Source organism: Homo sapiens, chromosome 21 (assembly GCF_000001405.40).
Source record: "Homo sapiens chromosome 21, GRCh38.p14 Primary Assembly".
Lineage (NCBI taxonomy): Eukaryota > Metazoa > Chordata > Mammalia > Primates > Hominidae > Homo > Homo sapiens.
Window position 1 is genome coordinate 41,791,112 of NC_000021.9, and position 21,660 is coordinate 41,812,771.

The following is a 21,660-nucleotide window of genomic DNA, read 5'->3' on the forward strand; positions in this document are numbered from 1 at the left end:
TCAAACTCCTGGCCTCAAGTGATCCTCCTGCCTCAGCCTCCCAAAATGCTGGTATTACAAGTGTGAGCCATCACACATGGCCTCTCGTACATTTTATAGGTCTCTATATTATAAGTCCCATAATACATCATCTTTACTTTTGCTTGACTTTTAAATATATTTAACTGATAAGATAATAAAGTATTTGAATCTACCCACATTGTTACCATTTCCATTGTTCTCTGTGTCCTTGGACAGGTCCAGATTCCCACCTGCTATCACCTTCGCTCTGCGTGGAAGACTTCCTTAAAGAGAACTCGCACTGCAGGCTACTGACACTGAACTCCTTCAGCCTTGTGTGTCTGGAAAAGTCTTTAATTGGGGAGCTGATTATAATCCCCAAAAACACAATCCCAAACACCATAACCCCAAACGCTGAAATCCCAGAAGATCAAACCTGAAAATCACAACCCCAAAAGATCAAAATCCTGAAAATATAATTCTGGAAAAAATAATTTTTAAAAACATTTAAAAGATATTGCAGTTCAGAAACATATCAAAACAGGACTGCACACTTCATAGACCACTTTATACAACAAAATAGGTGATAATAATAACATATACTTTGCAAGCGTAAACACTCAGGTAAACTAATGACAGTCGCACAGGTTATGAGCAGATGAACCACATTCTTTTTTTTTTGAGATGGAGTCTCGCTCTTGTTGCCCAGGCTGGAGTGCAATGGTGCGATCTCAGCTCACTGCAATCTCTGCCTTCTGGGTTCAAGCAATTCTCCTGCCTGAGCCTCCTGAGTAGCTGGAATTACAGGCACATGCCACCACGCCTGGCTAATTTTTGTACTTTTAGTAGAGACGAGGTTTCGTCATGTTGGCCAGGCTGGTCTTGAACTCCTGGCCTCAGGTGATCTGCCCGCCTCAGCCTCCCAAAGTGCTGGGATTACAGGCGTGAGCCACTGCGCCTGGCCAGATGAACCACATTCATAAAGAAATAGGTCAAAACGGAAAGGTAAAAACACATGTCACTATCGGTAATTGCGCACACCCAGCTTTCTAACTGTGGTCATCTGAAATACCAAACGAACAAAGTGTCTTTCAACAAGATCAATCAAAACCCCCGACGGGTCACCACTGCATGTAGTTGCCCAAAGAGCCGAAATCTGGATAAATTTTATCTTTCACAAATGCAAATGTACAAAAAGAACATCTCTTCATTTACTGAGGAAGTTTCAACATTTTCTGATGTCCAAGGCAGCAGAAGAAACGTCTGTCCAAGCTCTCAGAGATAGACCAACTTGCCTTCTGTATTTGTTCTCTCGGGCACCCCAGCTGATTGGATGGTGCCTGCCAGCATTGAGGGCAGATCTTGCTCACCTCGTCCACTCAGACTTGCACAATAATTTCCCCAGGAGACTCACAGACACACCCGAAAGAATACTTTACCAGGTTTCTAGGTATTCTTCAATCCAGGTAAGTTGACATCTAAAATTCAGTCCACATGTGCCAACCCTGGTCAACTTGGCACACATAGGTATCTCATTTGACCATACTTAATTTCCAAATAAAGACAATAAGCTGATAGTTTTACTTAACATGATGCAACTATGCTATGATTGTGATTTTCAGGATTTTACCCTTTAGGGATTTTGATCTTCTGAGATTTCAACATTCGGGAATATTGTGTTCAGGGTTGTGTCTTTCAGGATTATTATCTAAACCCCTTTATTTGGCCTTCTTTTTTGAAAGATATTTTTGCTGGGTATAGAATTTATCCTGACAGTTGCTTTCAATGCTTTCCCTATGTTGCTCCAGTGTCTTCTGGCTTGCATCTCCTTGATGTGAATTTGACGTGTCATCATTATCTTTGTTCCTCTGTATGTGATATGTCTTTCCTCTGGATTCTTCCGGGTTTTTGTCCTTATTACTGGTTTTCAGCAATTTGATTAGTAAATGCCTTAACATAGTTTTCTTCATGATTCTTGTGCTTGGTGATCACTGAGCTTCTCAGATATGTAGTTTTATGGCTTTCGGCAAATTTGACAACATTTTGCTCATTCTTTTTTTTTTTTTTTGAGACAGAGTCTGGCTCTGTTGCCCAGGCTGGAGTGCAGTGGCGCGATCTCGGCTCACTGCCACCTCCACCTCCCGGGTTCAAGCAATTCTCCTGCCTCAGCCTCCCGAGTAGCTGGGACTACAGGCGTGCACCACCACACCGGGATAACTTTTGTATTTTTAGTAGAGACAGGGTTTTACCATGTTGGCCAGGATGGTCTCGATCTCTTGACCTCGTGATCCGCCCGCCTCGGCCTCCCAAAGTGCTGGGATTACAGGCATGAGCCACTGCACCCGGCTTCACTATTTCTTCAGATATTTTTTTCCATCTCTTTCCCTTTTCTTCCAAGGACTCTTCAAAAACTCTAATAACATATATTAGGCTGCTTGAAGTTATCTCAAAGCTCGCTGATGCTCTGTTCATTTTCTCCCTCTTCTTTTTCTGTGCATTTTATTTTGAATAGTTTTTTTTTTATTGCCCTAGCTTCACTGATCTTTTCTTCTGCAATATCTGACCTGCTGTGAATACTATCCAGTATGTTTGTCATGTCATCACTGAAATTTTCATCTCTGGAAGTTCAATTCATTTTGTTTTTAAAAAACTACATCTTTCATGCCTTTAACAGGTTTAATTATTTAATTATTCCTCTAGCTTTTAGAACATCTGAAAAACAGTCATAATTTCTCTTATCTTTGTCTACCAATTCTGTCATTTCCAAGAAGATTTGATGGGTTAATTTTGCTCCTTATCATGAGTTGTATTTTCCTGATTCTTTGCATGCGTGGTCATTTTTGATTGGGTGCTGTCCTGATTTTGCATTGCTGGGTGTGAGGTGTTCTTGTATCTCTATAAAATATCCTTGAGCATTGTTCTGGGATTCAGTGAAGCGTCTTGGAAACACTTTGATCTTTTCCACGTTTTGCTATGAAGCTTTGTTCAGTGGGACCAGAGTAAGGTTTAGGGGTCATTTCTCCTCATTTTTAGGCAAAATGCTTCTGAGAACTCTGCCCAAATTTCCCTAAATTAGAGAATTTTTTCTCTCTGCATGCTGGGAACAGGTCACTTCCTCACATGCGTGCTTGTCCGTACTCAGCTGAGAGTCATGGGGTCCTCTGTTGAGCTCTGGCGCTGTCTCTGCACAGCCCTCTCCTCCCCCATACCCTGCCCTGAGAACTCTGGCTACCTTGTCCGTCCTGGACCTTACCTTTGTCTCATCAGTTCAGGGACTGCTGTGCCCTGCCTTGTCTCCCTCTCTGCACTGTGGCCTGGGAAGTCTCTCCAGTCCATATGCTGGGCAGTCATGGGATTCACCTGGCTTGTTTTTCATCTCTCAGGGACCACTGTCTTCACTCCTGATGGCCATATATTGTGTCTGGGCTTTTTTTTTTTTTTTTTTTTGAGACGAGTCTCACTCTGTCACCCAGGCAGGAGCGCAGTGGTGCGATGTCAGCTCACTGCAACCTCTGCCTGCTGGGTTTAAGCAATTCTCGTGCCTCACCTCCCAAGTAGCTGGGATCACAGACGCCCACCACCACGCCCGGCTAATGTTTGTATTTTCAGTAGAGGCGGTGTTTCACCATGTTGGCCAGGCTGGTCTCAAACTCCTGACCTCAAGTGATCTGCCCACCTCGACCACTCAAAGTGCTGGGATTACAGGCATGAGCCACCACGCCCGGCCGTGTCTGGGCTTTTTAGCTGGTTCAAGCAGAAGAGTTAAGTCTAGTTCCTACCCCATCAGGGTCAGAAGCAGAAATGTTTAGATCAGACAATTGAATTGCCTGTGTGAGCCCCTCCATACAGTATGAATGGCAGATGCAAGACCCTGGTGAGGGGTGGTGGCGGGTGAGAAGGAAGACTGGCTGGCAGGAAGCAGGGCCAGGCCCTACAGACCTGGAGGCTGCAGAAAGGATCTGTGGGTATTCAGAGAGCTCTCAGGATCCAAGGGAGGACGCTGGGCTTGGTGTGTGGGCCACACTGTAGAATGTACACCTTCAAGGGTTACTGAGGTGACGGCACGGAGAATAGACTTCCTGGGACAAGAGTGGAAGCTGACAGGCACTTAGGAGGTGTCAGCTGGAAACCTGGAGTCGGGGAATAGTGGAGGACATGGTGAAATATGGACATTTTCTTTTTCTTCCTTTAAGAGATGGGGTCTCACTATGTTGTTCAGGCTGGTCTTGAACATCTGACCTCAAGTGATCCTCCTGCCTTGGCATCCAAAATGTTAGGATTACAGGCATGAGGCACCACACCTGGTCTTAAAACCTGGACATTTTTGCAAACACTTGGATGTCAAGGTGGGAAGCAGGGCAAGTCCAGGATGAAGCTGGGCTCTGAGCTTGTGTGTTTAGTGATGACAGGGCTGTTGGCTGAGCATAGGGTCAGTGGGGAAGGGCCAGGTTTGGGGCCGGGCCGGGGAAAGGGCGTGTGAACTCTATGAGCTGGACGTGCTGAGCTTGATGATCCGGTGAGACCCGCAGGTAGAGAGGAATTGTACGCTTTAATTCAAGGAAAAAATGGCAAAATACAAAGGACACATAGGACTCTCCTGAGGCCAGCATGCCTCTTCCAGACGGTTTTAGATAAGCAGCAAGGGCAGCCTCTGGGTTTCTAGAGGCTGTTTCCTACAACATGGAGGCAGGTGCCTCTCTTTCCTTCATTACCTTGCTGTAAGATTTTGTGACTAAAACTCAAGAGAGAAGAAAACAGCTAGTGTTCAGGTCAAGCCCCAAATTGTGATGCAAATGTGGTGACGTGAAGGAAGTAATGTATGCAGTGGTCCATCTCCAAGACAAACTGCCTTGAATTGGCTTAGGTCAGCAAACTACCTAAGAAACAGGATACACTAGACCTCTGCTTGGATCATCAATGCCTGCTTGTCAGCCTCCCCCTTCCCCCTTTCTCCCCTCCCCCTTCGTTGCCCTCACCCAAACCAAAGAAATTTAGTCTAAGATGAAAGTTTACTAGCCTGCAAAATAGCTCATTTTATCTATTCGTATCAGCGTGCCCAGCTACTTAGGTCATAAGTCAAATGCTTGAAGAGCCCCTGGGCTGACTAGGATTGCAAAGCATTGTGGGCTGCAACAAAATGCAGCAGGAAAACCCTAAAAAGACACCTAAGACCCCTGCCCAACAACCAATAGGTGATGTCTGGGAAGGTTGTGAGCCCATAGTGCTCAGCCTATGAGGAACTCGGGGAGGGACCTGCACACTAGGGGATACATTGTTTGTTGAAACTGCACTGGGTGTGCCTGCCCATCAGACACCCAATCTTGCAAGACCATCATTAAAAGTCTCACTTCTGCTGTTCTTCGGGTCTCTGAGTCCGTTCTTTGGGTTTGGACGGATGAGTCTGTTTCTCACAGATGCACCAGTGTTCAGGAGGAACTGAATGTCTCACTCGGGGAACAGGCTATATTGGCAGGAGTGAAGTCTTGGGTCTGGTCCTCCCTCTACCCAGAGGTGTGCTGAGCAGTGGTGTGTCTCTAGACAGGTAGGTCCACATTCCAATGAAGGGTGCCTTCCCCATGGTCTCCCTCTTTATAAAACACATAGAAGGCAAGCCTGTCAGTGGGGAAAGAACGGGCTACTTGGCTCCAAGACAGTCTGGATGTGGCTGCCATGCTTCGAGGACACGGAATGCGAGCTGCCTGCACTTGGGAACCCTGGGCTCAGGGGAGCCACATTCCCCGGCTAAGGGAGGAGAAGCTCTCAGCTTCACTGGAAGCAAGGCTTGGGTGGAAGGGGAGGCCCCGGCCAGCTTTGTCCGGGCAACCCAGCGCCACTTCCAGATGATTCTGATGATTGCACCGCCATACAGGCAAGGTCACTCATCCCTGTCAGGCCAGAACGAGGACCCCTGTGAGAATACACTCACACCAGATGTACAACCTGATGGGGAAGAAGCCAATGGCCCGCTCTGTTCCCCTCTCTACGGAGCTTGTGCCTAATGCTTGTGAAAAGGCCGTATTCAGACTGTGTGCTTGTCAGTTTTCCACCACACTGCATGGCTTTTAGCAGAGCAAATCACTAGGTGGTAATTTGCACCCTGAAAGAAACATGGGGGCACTGATGAATCGAATGTGCATGCTAACATGCTAACAACATCACCACCGTTTCTCCCTGCAGTGTTCTGAAAGGCTGAAAGTCTGCCTTTGTGTGCAATGAGAACCACACAGGGCTGGCACACACAAGGACTTGCTCACAGGTGGCCAAACGTGAAATGAATGAATCCTACTTCCTGGCAGAATTCATTGCTGGCAGATGCTACCTAAAATACAACAAAAATATCCAAGGCTTGGTTCTCACAGGTTAAATCCTCAGAAGACTGGATATGTAAGGTGTTTCCTAACTTTAAAATGACCTAGCAGGCCGAGTGCAGTGGCTCATGCCTGTAATCCCAGCACTTTGGGAGACTGAGGTGGGTGGATCGTTTGAGGCCAGGAGTTCGAGACCAGCCTGGCCAGCATGGCGAAACCCTGTCTATACTAAAAATACAAAAATTAGCCAGGCATGGTGGTAGGCACCTGTAATCTCAGCTACTTGGGAGGCTGAGGCAGGAGAATCACGGGAACCTGGGAGGCGGAGGCTGCAGGGAGTCGAGATCTCACCACTGCACTCCAGCCTGGGTGACAGAGCGAGACACTGTCTCAAAAAAAAAAAAAAAAAAAAAAAACCTAGCAAATTAGAATACATCATTCAATATTTGATCAAAAGATCAATAAGATAAGGGGTCATTCCAGACCATCTGCCCAAAGAAACTCCTGCTGAAGTATTCGCCTCTTTCTAGCTGTCAATCTTTTTGGTGCCTGTTCTCTCTCAATCTAAGCTTTACAAAAAATGCTACATGCACCCTCTTGGTGGCTTTTTTTTTTTTTTGGCAATCCCTGTGAAAGCTTCTGATACCTCAATATCTCAGGGAACATTTCAAATAATCCAAACATTTTATGAGTTCTGGACCTGAGAGGAATCAAGATGTGGCTGACGGCAGGAATCGTGAGCGTTCTCAAAGTATATGAACTGCACCACCTTCCCTAACAGGCAGCGGGAGCAGAAGGCCAGCAATTGAAAACACGGGTCACAGCACCTTTTATTCGTCATCATACAACCTGATGTGACAGGAAATACAGCCAACATCTCCAAACAGTCTTAATGCCTTTCACAATCCAATGGGAAAGCCCAAGACGCCGCCTCTAGTGGGGAAGCCATGAGCCTTCCGCCTTTGGATGCCACAAATGGGAACGATAGAGGTACAGGAGGTCTGCCTTCCACGCCGGACCCTCCAGCGCAGTCCCATGCCGGACACAGCGAGGCGGCACTTGGCACAGAACGTTTTCCTGAGAACACGTCACACGCTAGAGCATTCCAGAGGCCCGAGCCCCTTCTCAACCCACAGACCAGGATTCACGGGGAGCAGCTGTACCTGTGGCCTCCCCGCAAGACTCACACCAGTGGATGGCACTCGAGTCCACAGCTGCACGGAGCCACGGGTCCAAAACGAATTCTCCACTGAGATGGGTCCACAGAGCCTGGTGGCCACAATGGCTGGATCTAATGTCTTCCTTTATGAATACATCTGTGCACCTGGGATCAGTTAAAAAACGAAATACTTCCTGTCATGATGATCAATATGCAGAACTGCGTATAGGTGAGGACTCTTCTGCCTGGGTGGTACATGGTTGTTGTATTTTGCTATCTAGTTTCTTTGATGCAAATTTGTAGCAATTGCTTTAAGACAACCCATTTTGCCTCAGACAGTGACCCTATTAAGACCACGTATGTTTACAGAAAACTTGGGAGTTTGATTTTTCTTTAGAGTTCTCACTTATAACAAGAAGTAAGAGGTGTCTGTGTATTGAGATAAACAGTGGTATATACCACACAATCTAAATTAGGTTCTTTAACAACATTTGATGCGGTCTTACTCTAGGCACTAAAACAACTTCTTTAAAAAAATAAAATTGTGATTTCCAAGGCCTTTATTTTATAGGGAAGAGGAATAAAAGATCAATGCTAGTGGGTGTTTCGTCATGAGCCCAAAGCCCGTTGGGAGTCTCTGCGAGGTCATTTGCCCTTTAGATTCTGCAAAGGCAAAAAGAAATCGATACTGATTTTTAAAAATATATCTTAGGAGCCCTGGTCTCCTGCTGATTCCATGGATGCCTGGAGCACTTGTATCTGGAGAATGGAGACAATATCACCCCAAGCCCGAATTCATTTGATGAGACTACTATGTATAAAACAGTTAATTATATACATAAATAACATAAAATAATTCTCATAAATTAAAAGTCAAATGATCTCCCACTATTCATTCAACTGAGAGGTGAGAGCTAGGCGCGAGTGATGGTGGGTAAGGTGAGGAGGTGAGCCCCACAGACCCTCCTGCATGCTGCCTGGGGATGAACATTCCTTAGTTCATGAAGGCATATATTGCACAAAACAAATTCCAGCCCTGTCCTCAAAAGTCTGCTGTTTGGAGTGAAGTGCTGAGAAAGTTGCGTTTTGAAAAACACAATCATCCTTTGTTCTGCTGGCAACATCAGGACTGCTCCTGATCAATTACTCAGCCATGCCAGTGTTTCCTCAAGATGGACTCCCAGTGAGTGCAGGATCTGGGATAACTGGCAAAGCAGGACACCTTAAGGCAGGTTTGTCCTCTCACTGTGGCCACAAACAGAGTACCAGGAAAGTTAAGAGCAAACTTCTCCCCACACCTCTCAGTGTTTCTTGTCGTGGGCAGCAGGAGGGCTGGGTGCCTCCCCCAACCCTGGCCCCTGCCCCCGAAACTGGTACACAGACGTGACAGCACGTGTCCCCGCACACGCAGACCTGGCTGTTCACCGCACATTCAGTTTTAGGGGCAATTAATGCTTCTATTAGTGAACTAACCTCTCTGCTTTCATTACCACCTGGCAGGAAATAGCATTTTCTCTGTGTTTCAGAAATACCTACACTTTTCCATTGTAAAGAGCCAAACTCATTCAATATTTTTATAGAAAACTGGTCATGAAATACACCAACCTTTGGAATTGAAGTTTAAACAGAAGGAAAATATGACTTTTCCCCCGTTTCTTCCACTCGGGATTCTGGCTGGGCTTCAGCCAGAATGGATACATTTGGATTGCAGAGAATCCTGAGACAACCCGGAGGAGCCCCTGGGGGCAGCAGGGAGGCTCACTCCTCACACACAGCCGCGCGACCCTCTGCATCTGGGCAGCTGTGAAGGGTGGACAGGGACAGATGGTCCTACAGTGCACATGACTTTATCATGTTAACATAAAACTAAAACACAATATTGGCCATAACAGTCTTGAACACATAATGTATGTTTGAAATAAAGTTAAAAAAAAAAAAGGAAAAAAACTCTATTGGAAATCGATTCATGGATATTACTAAGATGCGTTTTGAGCTGGAGTCAGTGACCTCACGTGACCCCTTGCACATGATGACCGTGATGACCTCGAAGGTTGCAGGATCAGGTGCGGCTCAGCACGCCTCATGGTTTCAGCCCATAGTTGTATAAGAACCGACTCCACTCCTAGTTCAAAGAGAATACACGTTACTTTAACTTCTATGTGCTCGCTTGCAAAAAAATCCAGAAGTGAGGAGAAAATGTTCCCTGCTGCCTGCTGCCACCTGTGAATACTGTCTGTGTTCTCATAGGAACCGAGCTCTAAAAGAAAAAAGAAAATGAACCATTTGTGTTCCTAATAACTTATCTCCTGCCTCTTAAAATCCTGCTTCTCTCTCAGCTTCACTTTCCCGAACCCTGTGTCGGGCGAACACTGGTTCTGTAAGGGGAGGCAGATGCGGCCCCGGCCCAGGACTTACTGCCTTGGTAAGGCATGGTGTGGAGCCCCATCCAGTTTAAAACTCTGGCCTGCCAGAGGTCCCTTCTAGAGTTAAGCTGACAGACCGTAATGGTTGCTGGCGGGGGATCTGGAGATACTCTGCAAAGCTAAGTCAACCTTACATTGCAATGTATGACTTTTTGTTTGTTTGGTATCCAGCAAACACATCTAAACAAATCCCAAACATCCCTCTGCAGTTCTTGCCCCGAGTCTCCCGGAACGCAGCTCAGTAGCTGTACATCTGCTGCTGCTGCTGCTCCGCCTGCACCTGGGGCTGGGCCGCCTGCTGTGGGGGTGCCTGCGGCTGCGAGGGTGGCAAGACGTCAGTCTGGGGCACTGCCCGCCACGTGAGCGGGTGCTGGTCACTAAGCTGGCTCCCCAGGGGCGTGATGGAGTTGACCAGGGTCGTCAGGTTGATGAAATGGGCCACAGACTGTGGGTTCGAGGCTTCCGGCTGGGGGTGGATCTGGACGTCATTTTGGCGGTTGTGCAACATGGCAGAGCCGCTGACGGTATCAAAGGTCACGGTCAGGATTGAGTTGTCCAGCTGTAACTGGCGTTCAGGGGTGGTAAGGTGCCCCACGGCCACCGGCTGGAGATTGGTAAACTGAGTCGCGGCCGCAGTGGTGATGGGGGTCACGGTGATGTTGGTTAAGCCGACTGAGCTCGATGGTGTGGTCACATTTGGGTCACCCAGGGTCACCACTACCTGGAAGATTCACACACAACAAAAATCCGTTCATTTTTGCAAAATGGGGAACGCAAGGACCTCCCCAGGATGCGCTCTGTGTTACCACACCAAAGAAGCACGACATTCTTTGGTGAAAGAGGAAACCGAGTTAATTTTGTTCTGGAAAAATTCCAGCGAGAAACAAAAACAAGAAACAGACACAATCATGAAAGCAATGAGAAGGAACTAAGAAACAAATTAATTTCACTGGCTAGAAAAAAATAGAAAAAAGTAAGCACGAAAAAGACGGAAAACAGATGCTTCCTTTTCTATCCATTCCTCTGAAGTGCCCTGCTGTTGGTAAATGAAAATCCCACCACAAAGCTACAAAGAGCAATAAAGGTATTTGCAGTACCAATCGCTAATAAGAGAAAGCATTCTCTTTCATGGAGAGGGATGAAAGGCCAAATAAATGAGGAACTTTTGCAGTCAAGATTACCATCCCCCAAAACAAGAGAGAGAAGTGCAGTATTAGACACAGACTGATCAAACACTCAGAGGCTTCAAAAGCAAAAGTGACGAAGGCTGAGCAAGACAGAAGGTTCCACTCGAGAAAGTGGGATTGTGGGATTGTCTTCACCTTCCAGACTGAGGGATCCTTGCTCTCCGGCTAGTCAGCAAATGCACAGGGCTGAGCTTTCACCATAAGGGCACTTGGGTAGGCCACCCGTGACCTCCCCAAACTGCAAACAGCCTACCTAATTGCCACCCGGGCAGGGATATCTCTCTTCAACATGCTAGAATATATGTTGCTACTAACAATGACAAGCATGATTTGTAGGTCAGAACTCAGAAATGCTTACATGAAACATGCTTAAGTGAAAAACAGAATGTCTGCTGCCTTCAACCACATGAAGTCCACATGTACACTGTGTATAGTAAAAAGAGATGGAGTCACACACACGTAAGGCTCTCATGCTTAGGGAAAGTGACCGGCACCTAATCAGAACATAAAGCAGCAAACTGACCTGCTGAATGCTCTGTACTGCGGAATTGGTCTCGTCGCCTACACTGCCTGTGAACTCCGTCTCTTTCTCTGAGTATTCGCTGAAGGTGGCGTCCTCGGGCACCGGAGCACCCGCCTCCTCTTCTGGCTTCTGCTTTCTCTTGTGACTTCGCTTGGCAGCTTTCCCGTGCTTCCCTTCGGCCAAATCCTCCTGCTCCAGAGTCAGCTCAGGCTGCAGAAAAATCGGTTTCAGCCGAGAACCAGGTTAGTCGGTCACGTCAGGCAGCGGCCAGGGCAGCCCCAGCACTGCCCTGGACACACTCTCCAATCAGTGGGGACGCTTGTGGGCCACCGAGCTGCCACAAGAAACAGTGACCACAGCTGGGTCTTGTATTTCTAAGGATCGGGGCAAGTTCCTTTAGTTGCAGATTTAAAAAAAAAATACATGCAAGTCATATTTTTAAAAGTTGTATTTTATGCTAAAATGTAAACACTTCTTAGAAACTTAACGTTTTAAGCCACTGGGTATTTCCAAAGGGAAATGTTTCTGCCCGGGTGAGCTGCTAGAGCAAGGCTGAAAATGCTTTCAAATCAGGGCTCTCTCTTCCCCAGGGCTGAGACGAATCCACCATAAAAAACAATTTTGAATTAAAACAGATTTGACCACAAAACCTGCAGGGACAGGGAACGAGGGCCCAGCTGCAGTGGTGAGCCCAGTGGGCCCCTCCCCGCACGATTCCCTGCAAGTGTCCAGGACACTGCTGGGCTGTGACCACATCCTCTGAACCGGGCCGGCTCACCAGGCTCGCTCAGGCTCACAGAGGCCGCGGGGCAGTGGTGGCCGGTGAGTGGTCACCTGCCACTCCTCTTGGGCTTCCTGTGCCATTCCACACAACCTGATCCTAACCCAGTGGCAGACAGACCCAGCGTGGGCCTACACCGCTGTCATGGTGGGACGACCCGTCCCCCCCATGCCTGTGACTTGCCAAGGGTAGAAATGGCCTGTGGGTTCTGGGGCTGGGGCTGGAGCCGCCGTACGTCACTCAGCCGGACCCAGTGCCCTTCATGAAGACTGCACTCTAAAGCGCTGTTTCAGAACGAGAGGCATACATGTGATCTTAGACCACTGAGAGCATGGCACGTTCTCTTTGAAATAAAAAAAAATTTTGCTAACTGAAAGTTTAGTATTAACTAAAAATTTCTTTAAAAACTAAGTTCATCTAATTGGTATGTTTAAACTTATTTTGCTTAGAACATTTTAATGATTGTTCTGATTTTTTTTTTTTTTTTTTTCAGACACAGTCTCGCTCTGTTGCCTGGGCTGGAGCGCAGTGGCACAATCTCGGCTCATTGCAACCTCCGCCCCTGGGTTCAAGCAATTCTCCTGCCTCAGCCTCCTGAGTAGCTGGGATTACAGGCGTGCACTACCACATTTGGCTAATTTTTGTACTTTTAGTAGAGACAGGGTTTTGCCACGTTGGCCAGGCTGGTCTTGAACTCCTGACCTCAAGTGATCTGCCCGCCTTGGCCTCCCAAATTGCTGGGATTACAGGCGTGAGCCACCGCGCCCAGCCAATTGTTCTAATTTCTATTTTTTTCTGGAAAACATCTGTTTTCCAAAGTGAGATACACCAGTATTCAACAAACTGAGGTCACAGAAACTACAGAAACGAGGAGATGATCTAAGAGGTTCTGAGGGGAAGAGAAGCCAAGAAAACAGGGTAACCTGGCCACAGGCTTGCCCAGAGCTGCTCCCTCCCGGCCTGTCCAAGCCCCTCTGGTCCCTTCTGCAGGTGTCCACTTACCCCAAAGTTTCTGAGCCCCTGGGGCCCCATGCTGCTCACCTGGACGATGCCAATGGAGGAGGCGTCGATGGTGGTGGTCTCCGGGAGGTGGTCCAGGTCATCGATCCTCACCGCGAGCACCTATGAGGAGCACAGGGCATGAGCTGGGGGTCAGGGTGCTGCTGATGCAGGTGGGAACCCAGAAGCCACACACGCCTTGGGACCACCTCCACCACTCCTGCCCTTCCCTCCCAGGCATCCCCCGCACTTCCCAGTCTCCTCTGTTCAGCTCTGACTTTGAAACTCTGTGTCCAGAAGCCCAGGGCTTATCCTCACCCCTTATTTCATGCTCCCACAATGGTCTTGCCCCTGTATCATCTCACGTCCACTCCCCCAGTGGGGAGACTATGTCCTCCCTTTTTGGCCCCCCACCAAAGGGGTGAGGTTTCAGTGGCGCTTCTGTTATTTCCAAGGGAGACCACAGCAAGGTAAAGATACAGTAGAGTAAACTTGTTCTATGAGCAATCACCAAAAATGAGACATTTGTGCCTTACACATCGTACTTTTCAGTTGAATCCATACACAAGTGCTTTCATTTGTTGGTTTTGTGATGAAGTGACGCCCTGCCCCTACCTTCCCTCCAATGGCCCCACTGAACGGGGTCCTCAGCACGCCCCATGTGTCCACAGGGGCCCTCCCACCAGCTCAGTGCGTCCTGCCCAAAAGTGAGTGACCTTCACCGCCCACACCCTGCTTACAGCAGTTGCGTTTGTTCCTGTGATGACCTAATTAGATCATAAGAAAGACAACGGACAACGAGTACAGAGACAGCCGAACGTGATAAAGGGGAGGGGCTGCAAAACAAAATTAGCAAGAGTCTGCCTGTAAGGGTGCTTCACCCAAACAGCTTTGCAAACATCTTTAAATTTCTGATCAACTAAAGGAAGTTAAAATGAAAAAGCAGACTATGCTTTGTGGATGTAACTCATTTAAAAAAGGAGAGAAGTGCATCATTAAATTTACATTCCATGACTAGGTCTGGGCCCCTTCCTGGAAAAGATGGCAAACAAAGGCTGGTCTGTAAGTGTTTTAAGTTAACATAAATCCTGCAATGGCTTTGAAGACTCCAGTGTAACTCTCATTGACACTGAGCACAGATCTATACTGTGACACTCGCAAAGGACCCTGAGCAAAAGCAACCAGACTGCTGTGGACGCACTCTCTACCGTCACCACCATCACCACCATAAGCACCACCACCACCATCATCATTACCACCTCTATCATCAGTATCATCACCATCAACACCAACACCACCACCACCAACACAACCACCTCCATCACCATTACCAACACCATCACCACCAACACAACCACCTCCATCACCATTAACAACACCATCACCACCCCCTCCATCACTATCATTACCCTCATCACCACCAACACTGTCACCACCATCATCAGTACCACTACCACCACGTGGCATCACCACCACTGCCATTCCTATCACCACTATCACCACCACCACCACCATCACCACCACCATCACCACCACCACCATCACCACCACCATCACCACCACCACCATCACCATCACCACCACCATCACCACCACCACCATCACCACCACCATCACCACCACCACCACCACCATCACCACCACCATCACCACCACCACCACCATCACCATCACCACCACCATCACCACCACCACCATCACCACCACCACCATCACCATCACCATCACCATCACCACCATCACTACCACCATCACCACCACCACCATCACCACCACCCATCACCACCACCACCATCACCATCACCACCACCATCACCACCACCACCATCACCACCACCACCATCACCATCACCACCACCATCACCACCACCACCATCACTACCACCATCACCACCACCACCATCACCACCACCACCACCATCACCACCACCACCATCACCACCACCACCATCACCACCACCCATCACCATCACCACCAGCACCACCCATTACTACCACCACCATCACCACCATCACCATCACCACCACCATCACCACCACCATCACTACCACCAACATCACCACCATCACCATCACCATACCACCACCATCACCACCACCACCATTACTACCACCACCATCATCACCACCATCATCACCACCACCACCATCACCACCACCATCACCACCACCACCATCACCATCACCACCACCATCACCACCACCACCCATCACTACCACCAACATCACCACCATCACCATCACCATACCACCACCATCACCACCGCCACCACCATCACTACCACTTCCATCACCATTACCACCATCACCGCCTCCTCCATCACTATCATTACCATCATCACCACCACGACTGTCACCACCATCACCACTACCACCGCCATCACCATCAGCACCACTACCACCATGTGGCATCACCACTACCATCCCTATCACCACTATCACCATCACCACCACCATCTCCACCACCATCATCACCACCATCAACACCACCACCTCCCCCATCACCTCTACCACCACCATCACCAACACCACCATCACCAACACCAGGTCCCCCATCACCACCATCACCTTTACCACCATCTCCACCACTACCTCCACCACCATCACATCAATATCATCAGTATCCTAGTCACACAGTCTGAAAGCTGACGCCATCAAAGAACCACCATAGAAGCATTAGCTTCACTCTTCTTAGGATATAAGAAAAAAGTGAAAATTGCTTTCTGTGTTTTGTTTTTAATGTAACATTCATTCAAAGTAAAGAGAAAAACCATAGCTTGGAGTCATAAAATAGTATCAATCCTAAAAGATTCTGAATCTCTGTAAGTAGTTTATGCCTGTTTAACTAGTCCAACAGTTAAACTATAACTAGTTTAACTTAACTAGTTAAATTAGTGTGACTCCAACGAACACCTTCTTCCTCCTGAATCTGTGGCATCACCAACGGGGACAGGCTCGGGGGACCGTTATCCCACTCTCAGACAGCCAGGCCTCACTGCGGTACACACACAGCTACACAAAGCTGACCCGAGTCCCCTTCCTTCCCCTCACACTGCTGTCTAGGGTCATCTCTTCCATATCCTCTATTCTAGTTTGTAATCACTTTGCCTCTGTCTACTTCTTATTTTTCTGTCTCCTACCCAGACCGTAAAGTCCAGGAGGGCAGGGATGGACCCTGGCTGGCCGGCCCATCACATCACTGGTAGGCATTTGTTTGAGTTAATGTAGAGGGAAACAACTGTGAGATGATCAAAAGGAATGACACAAAGAGAGCACAGGATAAAAGGCTGGAGAAACAAATTGGTTCGAGAACAAAGACGGACAAAATCCCCCCGCACCACCTTCCCTGGGTCTGGAAGGCTTTCCTCTTGAGTCACTTGGTTCTGTCCGGGTTGGGCTTGAGGGGAGTGGGGATGGGCAACACACAGCCCAGTTGAAGGAGCAGAGCACAGAAGGCGAACTTGCAGTTGGGCCACCTTAGGAAGTGGTTTAATCCTGGTGAGAGGACTCTGCCTGACAGTGTTTGTGGGAGATGTCTTTATCAGTAAGGCCTCTCCACCCAGCTATGTATATCAAAACTCCGGTGTACAAAAGTGATGTGCACCGTCTTTATCAATACGCGGAAGTCTAGAAACCCACACGTCATGGAGAGGAACCGCTCAAACGCCAGCCTTGCTCACGGGCTGCTGGGTGGGCTGCAGGGCCTGCCCTGCCCCTGGGGTGCCAAGGTGGTCCTGGCGCTTCGGGTTCCTACTCCCCCGACTCTGTTTTCTAGGTAAAAACACCAGCTGGCCACTACATGAGAAGGGAGGCAATGGAGCTCAGTTAGAGGGATCCAAGCTCCCCGCTGAGTGGGGCACAGGGCAGAGTATGCAGCCACGGTCCCCTGGCTTCCCGGACTGGAGAGCAGGTTGAGTCCCTGCATCTCCCTGGGAGCCTGATCGGGCTGCAGAGGAACAGCAACACGGCGACGTCCCGGGTCACCCCCAAACTAGGGAGCCACCAGACTGACACCTGAGGCAGACGGTGCTTTCCCAATTCCAAAAGGAAGTCACTTTCATTACAGGACATTGGAAAATGGAGAAAAATGTGAAGACAAGAAATTACCCATCACTTCAAGAACAAGAGAGAAATCACTGTGGGATGTTTTGCTCCCTTCTTTACCTACCTCATTTATATAAGTGAGTATTATATATACACACAATGTATGTGACGTGTATTGTGTATACACACATTATATATGTGCACAACGTATACTGCTCTTTCACGTACGTAATGAGCATTTCACAATTTCAGATCCGTGTAAGCATGTGTGTCAGGCAAACACACTGCTAAACTATCACTAATTGAATCACGTTCTTATTGTAGGGTTGGAATAGGGGTTGGAATAACCATTTATTAAACACTCGAGAAATGCTGTGATGCTGCCTTCAAGAAAAACATCCAACGGTGAGAGCGGCAACTCGTGCCAGCCGGCCAGTGTGGTCACTCTGAATCTAAAACCCCCCGCCCCCGCAAGAGGCGAAGGATGCCATCCTCCGCCGCTACCGTTTGCTTTTCTGGGATGCGCGGTGAGCTGAACGCCTTTCCGTGTGTTTTTCACCACGGCTGTTCTTCCCGCATGAGCTCCCTCTCCGTGTACACCCTGAGTGCGCTTCGCGTGTTTCTCAGTGAGTGCTTGTTATCACTAATGTTAACAGGCTCTATCTGTCTAACACAGCCATGGCCTATGCAAATTTTTTCTTTTTTTTTTTTTTTTGAGATGGAATCTCGTTCTGTCACCCAGGCTGGAGTGCAGTGGCGCAATCTCGGCTCACTGCAACCTCCGCCGCCTGGGTTCAAGCGATTCTGCTGCCTCAGCCTCCCGAGTAGCTGGGACTACAGGCGCCCACCACCATGCCCAGCTAATTTTTATATTTTTAGTAGAGACGGGGTTTCACCATGTTGGCCAGGCTGGTCTCAAACTCTTAACCTCGTGATCCACTCGCCTCTGCCTCCCAAAGTGCTGGGATTACAAGCATGAGCCACCGTGCCCGGCCCAGATTTTTCATTTTTCCTTTGGCCTGTATTTGTTCTGAGTGCTTATGGAGTCAAACCTGTGTTCACAACTCCTTTTGCTGCTTTTACGCTTAGAGAGTCTACTCTTTTCTGTGACCTGACAACTAAGTTTTCCTCTGGTTTTGTCTTTCAGGGTGCTCCTTCTTAAAGCACATTTAATTACGGAACATCCTGGCCCTTCCTGTGGAGCAGGCTTTCAGAGCAGTTGGGCTCTGCCTGCGTCTGTACAACTTCCCCCTCCCCATCCTCGGTGTCATACTTTACTTGGCCCCAACACCACGTGGAGCCCCCATTTTGCACATTAGTTCCATGAGTGGGAAGAATGGGGGGAGTGGCAGGGCTGTGCTTCCATCTTGCCATAATTTCAGGGAGGACGTAATTTATAACCTTAGCAAAGGTCCGCCTGAGGCTCTCCTAACCTCTCGCAGCCACTCACTCAGTGCCTCCTGTGTGGCAGGCAGTGCCAGTCACAGACGCACCTAAGACTCAGGGCCTGCCTCCAGTACTGGGGGTCTGCAGAGGGAGGTGGGCCATGTGCCAGCATGGGGGTGTCCGGTGCGCGGCCCGCTGGCGGGGCACGGAGGGGGCACAGCCACCAGCTCACCTCGGGGTGCTTGCGCCGCATGTGTCGGCTCATGGAGGCCCTGGTGGACACCTTGGTCCCGCACAGCTGGCAGCTCTGCGCCTCCACCTTGTCGTGTGTGAGCTGAACGTGCTTCTGCAGCATGTACTCGGTCACGTACTTCTTGTCGCACACGGAGCACGTCCACTGCTTGCCCACTTTTCACACACACGCAGACACACATGCGCGTGGAAAGGAAGAGACACGCAGGTCACTAGTGCAGCCATCCCAATGACCCTGGCCTGCTGGACGAGGCAAGAAGCCTGTCACGCCCCGCCCATCCTGAGAGGGCCGGTGCTGGTCCCCGAGCACACATGAGCACAGAGCCTCTGTCCCTTGGGGAGCACTGCCAGCAGCAGCTGCATCACGGAACCAATATGAGAAAATTCAAGAAGGGATACTTGAAAGCTGTGGCGGGTTGACCTTCAGAGGCCAAGGGGCCACCATGAAGCCAAGACAACACTAAATGTGCTGGAACCGTCTAGATAATAGAATAGTCGTTTCCACCCCAGCAGGCACTCAGACAGCCCCGGCAGCCTGCCGCGTGCGCCCCGAAGGCTCCTTCAGGCTGCGCCGCTCACCTGTGTGGATGAGCTTGTGGGTCTCCATGGTGTTCCTCTCGCTGAATGTCTTCCCACACAATTCACACATGAAATCTTTAATCCCTGCAGAGAAAGGCGCACATAACTTCCTACGTTTAATGAGTGTTGTAAGTCCACATCAGGGCATGTCTTCTCCCTGACACGTTCCAGGCACTGTAGGGCCTTCAGGAGAAGGTGAATTGCAAGAAGACAGCAGACAATGAACGCTCATCCCCAGCCTCGGCCAGCAAAGTGTGGCTTGGAAAGTTTATGCTTCCATAGTGACATTTCATATCAAAAAAACATGAGATGTGGGAAAGGCTGTCTGAAAACACAGACAGAAAGTGGAACCCACATGTGGACAAGCAGAAAAACGATAGGAATTTCTTTAAAGCATTAATGTATCCACACCTCCCTTAGTCCAGGAAGCTCTTAGGCAGCACATGTGATATTACAATGAGAGAGGAAATGGTAACTGAAATCAGGACCAATGGCAAGGAGGACACAGACGAGCCAAGCGTAAAAGACAACAGAACTGCCGTGCTCGGACAAAATGAGTGTGATTCTTCAAAACTTGACTAATTCAAATGAGAGCTGATGCCAGGCACGGTGGCTCATGCCTGTGATCCCAGCACTTTGGGAGGCCGAAGGAAGATCGCTCGAGTCCAGGAGTTCAAGACCAGCCTGGGCAACATGGCGAGACCCTGTCTCTACAAAAATAAAATAAAATAAAATAAAATAAAATAACCAGCCGGGCATGATGGTGTGTGCCTGTAGTCCCAGCTACTCGAGAAGCTGAGGTGGGAGGATCACTTGAGCCCAGGACTTCAAGGCCGCAATGAGCTGTGATCACATCACTGCACTCCAGCATGAGCAACAGAGAGACCCCATCTCTAACAACAGAAAGGTAAATTAGAGCTTACCTGACTTTTTTTTTTTTTTTTTTTTTGAGACAGCGTCTCACTCTGTTGCCCAGGTTGGAGTGCAGCGGCGCGATCTCGGCTCACTGCAAGCTCCGCTTCCCGGGTTCAGGCCATTCTCCTGCCTCAGCCTCTCTGAGTAGCTGGGACTACAGGCACCCGCCACCACGCCCAGCTAATTTTTTGTATTTTTAGTAGAGACGGGCTTTCACCGTGGTCTCGATCTCCTGACCTCGTGATCCGCCCGCCTCGGCCTCCCAAAGTGCTGGGATTACAAGCGTGAGCCACTGCGACCGGCCTTGACTTTTTAAAATATTTGATAAGTACTCAGTCAGTCCTGGCTCATGGATTGGCCTCACGGGAGCCAGAAGCGGATGCTTTAATAGACCAACACCAGAGGTGGCAATTGCTCCCGCACGGCCACTCGTGCCCACGGATTCTAAGACTCCACCTTCCAAGGGAGGGGCCTTAACCCCCCAGAGCCTCCCAGAGTAGGGAGGGTCCCTCCCCAGGTCCAGGGACAAGACCAGGAAGTGTCACTGTTTTGTTGCTTATTTTAAGGACACTTTTGATTGACATCAAACTCATAGACAGAAAAACACAAATTGTAAGTGAGTGCGGGCTCAACAAATTTCCACAAAGTGCATGAACAAAATAACCAGTTCCCTGATTACTAGGGAAAAAGAACCAGCATAGCCATCATCGTGACATTCCCAGGATCAGGAGGTGCACGGTAGGTGGCCTTGTGGTGGAAACAGGTTTAATTAGAGCCCGGGGGGAGGCGTACAGATAATCCTGTTAAAATCTGTTATTTTATGTATGAGGAGGCTGAATCTCCCAGGACAGTCTGTGGAACTTGAGAGGGTGAAGACGAAAAGGCCGGCCCTTAGCGACTCTGATTGAGAGAGTCTGGGAAAGAAAACCCAAGCCTGGTCTTTAGACAAAGCCTCTCAGATGATTCAGGACATCCAAGAGCAAGCATCCCCAACAGACGGCCACGTGAGGAAAGTTGAGAGGACATTCCTCAGAAGCTAAAGGACCCCAAAATGCTTAGAGAAATAAGACAAGCTGTGGGCCACTGCCCTGAGGAACGGCCACC

General features: G+C 48.8%; 1 protein-coding gene across 25 annotated transcripts in view, besides 1 other annotated feature; it reads right to left on the bottom strand.

Moving 5' to 3' along the window:
- Window positions 5,209–5,709: an enhancer, noted in NCBI's record as "H3K27ac hESC enhancer chr21:43216480-43216980 (GRCh37/hg19 assembly coordinates)". NCBI's record gives its function as "activates a minimal SCP1, AML or CMV promoter by ChIP-STARR-seq in naive H9 embryonic stem cells {active_cell/tissue: H9 hESC(naive)}" and the evidence as "EXISTENCE:reporter gene assay evidence [ECO:0000049][PMID:30033119]".
- PRDM15 (PR/SET domain 15) overlaps window positions 7,114–21,660 on the bottom strand; it is an 81,120-nt gene continuing 66,573 nt past the window's right edge. For 22 of the 25 annotated variants that reach the window (NR_104258.2, NR_104257.2, XM_047440940.1 and 19 more), the window contains 5 exons: window positions 19,642–19,725; window positions 19,043–19,218; window positions 13,423–13,503; window positions 11,601–11,810; window positions 7,114–10,611 (listed from right to left, as the gene is read on the bottom strand). Coding sequence is in view for 20 of the 25 variants with exons in the window: in XM_047440940.1 (XP_047296896.1) it covers window positions 10,129–10,611; window positions 11,601–11,810; window positions 13,423–13,503; window positions 19,043–19,218; window positions 19,642–19,725 (1,034 nt within the window). In the remaining 5 variants the exon portion in view is untranslated. Of the gene's footprint in view, window positions 10,612–11,600; window positions 11,811–13,422; window positions 13,504–19,042; window positions 19,219–19,641; window positions 19,726–21,660 lie in introns of those variants that run through there. The other 3 variants (NR_135464.2, NR_104260.1, XR_007067792.1) reach the window with 2 other exon arrangements.